Source organism: Homo sapiens, chromosome 20 (assembly GCF_000001405.40).
Source record: "Homo sapiens chromosome 20, GRCh38.p14 Primary Assembly".
NCBI classification, from domain to species: domain Eukaryota; kingdom Metazoa; phylum Chordata; class Mammalia; order Primates; family Hominidae; genus Homo; species Homo sapiens.
The window spans coordinates 62,093,704-62,101,142 of record NC_000020.11 but is presented as its reverse complement, the minus strand read 5'-3'; positions in this window follow the sequence as shown (position 1 = coordinate 62,101,142).

Genomic DNA, 7,439 nt, shown 5'->3' with positions numbered 1-7,439 from the left:
TGGGAGACCAAGGCAGGTGGACCATCTGAGGTCAGGAGTCCGAGACCAGCCTGGCCAACATGGTGAAACGCTGTCTCTACTAAAAACACAAATATTAGCTGGGCATGGTGGTGGGCACCTGTAATCCCAGCTCTTCAGGAGGCTGAGTCAGGAGAATCACTTGAACCCAGGAGGTGGAGATTGTGCCATGAGCCGAGATTGTGCCACTGTACTCCAGCCTGGGTGACAGAGAGAGACTCCGTCTCAAAAAAAAAAAAGATAATTTTTTCATAAAGTAGAGAAAATGAAATGAAAAATAGGGAAGAAAACATTAATAAGAGCTCCAGAAAGAGAAAACAGAATGGAGAGCATCGCCAAGCAAGTGATTTATGAGGAAACATCCTAAAATGTGGACGTGAGGCTCCAGGTTGAATGAGTGAAGGAAGGCCGGCATGGCATCATGAAATTTCTGAACACAGGACATGAAGCCAACTCTTGGCAGAGCAGGTCCCAGTCCCACGAAAGAGCTGGTGATCTGACTGGCACTGCCTCTCAGGTGGCTGCAGGTGGACAATGTCGGCAGCGGGCAAAACCTTCACAGCCCCGTGGGAAGCTACTCTGCATCCTCGTCCCCCGGGGGACCCTAAGACTGAGGAGGCCTCCAGGCACCTTTCTCAGTGAACTCCTAGAGAATGTGCAGGGAGTGAGCGGGGAGGGCAGTCGGGGGACCCAGGTTCCGCTCAGGACAAACCCCAACAGAGGTGTGGGAGCTCGTTGCCCATGGACAGCAGTGTGAAGAGCAGCCGCCTGGGGAGTCAGGGCCAGGCTGCCCATGAGAGCCCCTGGGAGGATGGGGCTGATGGCTTTCTTGCTCCCCACGTGGAAAGGTGGCCCAGGACACGCTTTCTAGAGTCCCTGGGGAGGTTTGGGATGGGAACAGGCAGACACAGGATAAACTGACCGCAAGAACGACTTACACCCAAAGCCTGGAGGAGTGCGCTGCTCAGGCCTGCGTGGGCCCAGGGGACCACCCTCTGCCGGGCGGGTGAGCAGAGGAAGTGCAGGGAAGCAGCAGCAGGACAGCAGGGCCGTGGGGCTGGGAATCCAGAGCAGGCAGGGCCACGTTCTTCTCTTCGTGGCCTCATCTGTGGCCTCAGATCGTTTTGATGCAGATGCAAAGGATGCCTTAGGAGAGTCAGCTCTGTCGCCATCAGGATTTCCGTCTGTATCAGAGGCAAGGGTGTACCCATGGGAAGCAGAGGTGGGTCCAGGGGTGCACGGAGGAGGGTGGGCTGCTCAGACAGCAAGCAGGTGGTGAGGACAAACCTGAGAGAAGCCGTCTCAGCCAATAGCAGTGGCCACTCAGATCATCCAGTCATTGGTTCATTCATTGATCTGTTGATGGACTGATCCCCCCATCACTGATGTACTGATCCCACAGACACTCATTGAGTGTGGGTCAACATACAATCCCCACGCTGGTGAGCATCGGGGCTGGGGTGGGGCTGGGCACTCTATGGTAAGGGCTCCTTCCTTGGTCTGGGACTGAGGCCTCCTACCTGCTGCACCCTGGATGTACCTCGAGGCTTCCAGGCCAACTCTAGGTGTGTGGTTTAATGGGCCTGGGTGTGGCTGAGTATGGGGTTTTATCCAAGCTTGCCAGGCATTCTAATAAGTAGCCGGGGGTATGAGCTGCGGGTCTAGGGAGAGCGGGGGAAGCTTCAGTGAGAATCTAGGAGGAAGGAGTGGGCAGAGAGGTGGGCTGCAGAGTCCCCTGAAGGCTGGTGTGGGGAGGCAGCTGTGAGGGTCTGAAAGGGGGTGTGGAGGGACAGGCCGGGGAGAGCCAGGAGGAGCCCCCACGGAAGGGCTGGGTTGAGGGAGGGCATGGGAGAGCAGAGCTGGGAGGTTACAGGAGAGCCTGGAGAGGACAGAGGGGACGGCCTCGGCATGGCAGCTGCACCCACAGAGCAGGCAGTACCACATGGCACCTATCGAGTGCTGCCAGATGCCCAGTGACTGAAGCAGGGCTAGTGGGGCGATCTGTAGGCAGGATGTCCATGGGGTCCTGGGTCTTGAAGTGAAGAACATGCTTCTAGACTGTTCTTCACTGCCCTGTTCAGCTTTCCCCTGTCCAAGACGCCGGCTCCCAACAGGTCGGGGGGTGACCTGGAATGGCGTGGAAATCCTCACCAGCTGGAAGATGGTGGAGTTGGGTCCAACCCAGCAGCCACCCCCTCCACCATGAAGTGGCAGGAGGTGAGTTCTGGGGAAAGCTGGTTGGTTCTAAGCAGCACCCTGTCTGTGGCAGGACAAACCCACCTGACCCAGTTCTGTGCTATTTTTTTCTTTTTTCTTCTTTTTTTTTTTTTGAGATGGAGCCTCCACTGTCACCTGGGCTGGAGTGCAGTGGTACAATCTCGGCTCACTGCAACCTCCGCCTCCCAGGTTCAAGCGGTTCTCCTGCCTCAGCCTCCTGAGTCACTGGGATTACAGGCGCCCACCACCGTGCCCAGCTAATTTTTTCTATTTTTAGTAGAGATGGGGTTTCACCATGTTGACCAGGCTGGTCTTGAACTCCTGACCTCGTGATTCACCCGCCTCGGCCTCCCAAAGTGCTGGGATTATAGGCGTGAGCCACCGCGCCCGGCCTGTTCCATTTTTAAACTCCCAGCTTGCGGGACTCCTTCACCATCACCTTTTGATCTCCCTGGAAGACAAGGGTTTTTTTGGTTTCTTTTTTCTTTTTCTTTTTTTCAAGAAGGAAATGTTCTAAAACAAAAGATTTGTCTAGGCCTACATCTCCTTTTCCACAAGATTCACCTGGGAGGAGGTGCAGGCCGGGCGCCGCTGCAGCATCTTTTCCTGCCGTTCACTCTGGTGCGGGAAGGGACGCTGGGGAGCCTGTGACTGAGGGAACAGTGGACCCCAGGCAGGCCCCTCCCCAACGGCACGCTGCAGGTCCAGCTTTGCTGGAGCCCTACGCTCGTCCTGGCTGCAGGGTCTGTCCTGAGCAGCCCGTGAGGCCGTCGGGGCCCTACCTGGCTCCTCTCCTGCTTCCTCCTGGCCAGTGTCCAAAGAGCCCCAGCCCCAGGCCCAGGTCCCCACCCTGGGCTCCCACGGATCTGGGCTCCAGCACATTGAACCCTGGGCTTTTCGGATGACTGTGTTCACTCTGTGTTTCAGAAATCCATTCTGACACCAGAAAAGCCATGGGCTGCCCTTCCCATCTTCCATTTCCCTGCAGTGGGGCCTGTCTGCCTGTGTGTAAAACGCTTCCTGGAATGTGCCCTCCGCCCGACTGTCCGCGGTGCCCCCACCCTGCCTCTGGCAACACCCATCCCCCTGCATGGGGGCACAGAATTCTCTCTCCCCACACCCTCTCCCACCTGCACCTGCCCCTTCAGAGCCATGCCCCCCCAAAAGCATGCAGATGCCTGCCTCATGCCCACCCTCTTCCTGGGAACCCTCATGCCCATGTCCGCAATCGCCTCCCACCCCCTACTCCACTACGTTTGCCCTGAGTGTGGTGCCTGCGTGGCCTTCCCGGAGCAGCCTCTTGACAACTGTTCTGCTGGGGCTCAAATTACCCATCACTGGACAGTGGGTGCAGTGAGCAGGGGGAGTCCCCAGTGTGAGGACAGGCGGGAACTGAAGTCATGTCGTGGGACGTGGTCATGGACAGGATGGTCTCCCACCCCTGGTGGGAGGACCCAAGGGTCTGGTCCCGTGAGGCCCCCAGGGCATTTTGTCCTTGGCTGTGCCCGTGGTGGCATCAACACGACTTCCCCAGCCTAGGGGCCTTCCTTCCTCTTTGAGACCGCCGCCACCCCCCACCCTGCTCTCTGATCCGACCAGGCAGGCCCTCCATTCCCCCGGTCCTTGCCATGCCCCATGAGGGACGCAGAGGTGGGACACTGTCCCTACTGCATGGATGAGAAACCCAAGCCCCAGGGCCCGCCTCGGGCCACACAGCCGGCGGGGACAGAAGAGGCGCCCAGTGCCATTCTGGGTGACAGGTAACCGCAGGGCCCAGCCCTTCCTGGATCCACTTCTCGGCTCCTGGCCTGGGCAGTGCAGATCCCCCTGCAGAGTGCATCCCTCCCCACGCCTGACAGTGTCTGTGCCCATGACACCTCAGGGAAGCCCTCCCTGGCTCCTGTCCTCCCCCTCTCAGCCCTGCTGGCTCCTCCTGCCGGCACAACTGTGCTTGTCTCCTGTCTCCCTGCATGGTGGGAATGTGTCCCTGGCGCCTGGAACGTGCCCGGCCCATCGTGGCACCTAGGAGGTGTCTGCAGAGCCAGTCAAGGTTGCAGAGGGGGAGCTGCTAGGAGCTCCTGGCCCCTCCTCTTTCCCCCGAAATGTCTGCCAGCAGATCTGAGAGGGCCTCAGATGGCGAAGAATGAGGGGACCTTAGGAAACCCCTGTGGTCCCTGCCGCAGGCCCCCAGGGGAGGGCTGGTGAGTGTGGTGGGGAGGGGGTGTAGCAGAGGAGGCAGGACTGGGGTCCCAGAGGGAGAGGTCGAGGTGGGGCGGTGGGCCAGGGCATGTGTGAGCATGAGCGTGCTCATGTGTGTGTATGCAAGGGTGTGCAGCGTGTGCACCACGCGTGAGAGTGCAGACATGTGCATGTGTCCGGCGAGGTCTCGGATTACCTGTTCTATGTTTCAACTTGGTGCTTTGGTCCTTTCTCCTGCAACTCAAGTCCAGGATAGAGGCCCAGTACCAGGCTCCTAATGAGCAGATTCTGGCCCTCATCCATTCCAGAGCAAGGCTTTCTGTCTGGTTTTGGGTTTTTGTCTTTTTTGAGACAACATCTTGCTCTGTCCCCCAGGCTGCAATGCAGTGGCATGGTCACAGCTCACTGCAGCCTCCACCTCCTGGGCTCAAGCAATCCTTCTGCCTCAGCCTCCCGAGTAGCTGAGACAACAGGCATACACCACCATGTTTGGCTAATTTTTAATTTTTTGGTGGAGACTGTGTCTCGCTATGTTGCCTAGGCTAGTCTTGAACTCCTGACCTACAGCGATCCTCCCACTTCATCCTACTGAGTAGCTGGGACTACAGGTGTGTACCATCATGCCTGGCTAATTTTTTTTTTAATTGTGTAAAGACAGGGGTCTCACTATGTTGCCCAGGCAGGTCTTAAACTCATGGTCTCAAGTGATTCCTTCCTCAGCCTCTCAAAGTGCTGGGATTACAGGCATGAGCCACTGCTTCTGACCTCCCTCTGCTGTGTTATTTTATTTTATTTTATTTTGTTCTGTTCTATTCTATTCTATTCTATTCTATTCTATTCTATTCTATTCTATTCTATTCGAGACGGAGTTTCGCTCTGTCGCCCAGGCTGGAGTGCAATGGCATGATCTTGGCTCACTGCAACCTCTGCCTTTCAGGTTTAAGTGATTCTCCTGCCTCAGCCTCCCAAGTAGTGGGATTACAGGCACTCACCACCATGCCTGGCCAATTTTTAGTAGAAACAGTGTTTCACCATGTTGGCCAGTCTGGTTTCGAACTCCTGACCTCAGGTGATCTGTCCGCTTCGGCCTCCCAAAGTGCTGGGATTACAGGCGTGAGTCACCGCTTCTGGCTTTCCTGTTTTTTAAGCTGAAAAAAAAAAAATGTGCCTGGCTTATCGAGGCAGGACATTCATTTTGCAAACTGTTTCTGAACCCCACACCCCATTTTATAAAATATGAACATTACAATGCAGATTGACATGAATTTGGGAAAGGTTTTAATGTATGAGATTACATTCATGAGCCTCTTCATTAATTCTAGCCTCGTACAGCACGTTACTCACTTTTGCTTCTCATGCGAAGAGCAAATGATGTGTTTCAATTATCCCTCATTTTGGGAAACCTGAGGGAAAAGATTTGAGAGCACGAGCACCTTTTGTTGTAGAGCAGGAGGTCTCAATCTCGGGGGCTGTGAGAATCATCTGAATGACCTTTGCAGAATATGCAGGCGGCTGGGTCCCACTGACACCTGCTGGCAGAGCTCCTGAGAGAGGCTGGGCACACCTGTGTGCACACCTGTGCAGGTGCAGGCACATACGCAAGTCTGTGCATGTGAGCATCTGCTTTACTGTTTAATGTTAAATGTTTCTAGGCCGGACGCGGTGGCTCACGTCTGTAATCCCAGCACTTCGGGAGGCCGAGGTGGGCTGATCACAAGGTCAGGAGATCGAGACCATCCTGGCTAACATGGTGAGACCCCGTCTCTACTAAAAATACAAAAAATTAGCTGGGCGTGGTGGCGGGCGCCTGTAGTCCCAGCTACTCGGGAGGCTGAGGCAGGAGAATGGCGTGAACCTGGGAGGAAGAGGTTGCAGTGAGCCAAGATTGTGCCACTGCACTCCAGCCTGGGCAACAGAGCAAGACTCCATCTCAAAAAAAATAAATAACAAATAATTTTTTTTAATGTTAGAAGAGTGCAGGCTGGGCGTGATGCCTCACACCTGTAATCCCAGAACTTTGGGAGGCTGAGGTGGCTGGATCACTTGAGGTCAGGAGTTCGAGACCAGCCTGGGCAACATGGTGAAACCTTGTCTCTACTAAAAATATAAAAATTCACTGGGCGTGGTGGCACCCACCTGTAATCCCAGCTACTCAGGAGGTTGAAGCAGGAGGATCACTTGAACCCAGGAGGTGGAGGTTGCAGTGAGCTGAGATCGTGCCATTGTACTCCAGCCTAGGTGACAAGAGCGAAACTCCGTCTCAAAAAAAAAATATTAAAAGATTACATATATCAGAGTGTGTATAAAAGAGTATATATATCACACATGCAACTAAAAAAAAAATAAGAAGAAAGTGCACACCCATGCACCCAACACACCACCCAAGAGGTAGAATAGAACTAACACTCTGAGCCCCAGGAAGCTTTCTTGATGGCTTCCCTTAGTGAGAGACTTCGTTTAGCTCACCTGCCTTGGTCTCGCATATGACAGCTCTATGGGCTGCCATAACAAAGTGCCATAGACTGGGTGGGTGGCTTATAAACAACAGGAATTTACTTCTTACAGTTCTGGAGGCTGGAAGTTTGAGATCTGGGTGCCAGCATGGTCGGGTTCTTGTGGGGGCCCTCTTCCAGCTTGCACCCTTCTCGGCATCTCAGTGTACCCGCACGTGGTAGAGAGCAGAGAGACTTGCTCTCTGGAGACTCTCATAGGGCGCTAGTCCCTCTTGGCGTCAGCTGATAATAATCACCTCTCAAAGGCCCCACCTCCAGATGCCATCACACTGGAGATCAGACTTCAACATATGAACTGTGGGGACACACAAACATTCCATCCCAACCTCTTCAAATGTATCTGTTCTTCCCATGTAAAATGCATTCATTCCATCCCAACAGCTTTGCATGCCTTAGGCTTGCTGCAGCTTCTACTCTGAAGGTGTGAGCTCCAAGTCTTATCTAAATACCATCTAAATCCGATCCAGGTGAGACTCAGGGAACAATTCTTAC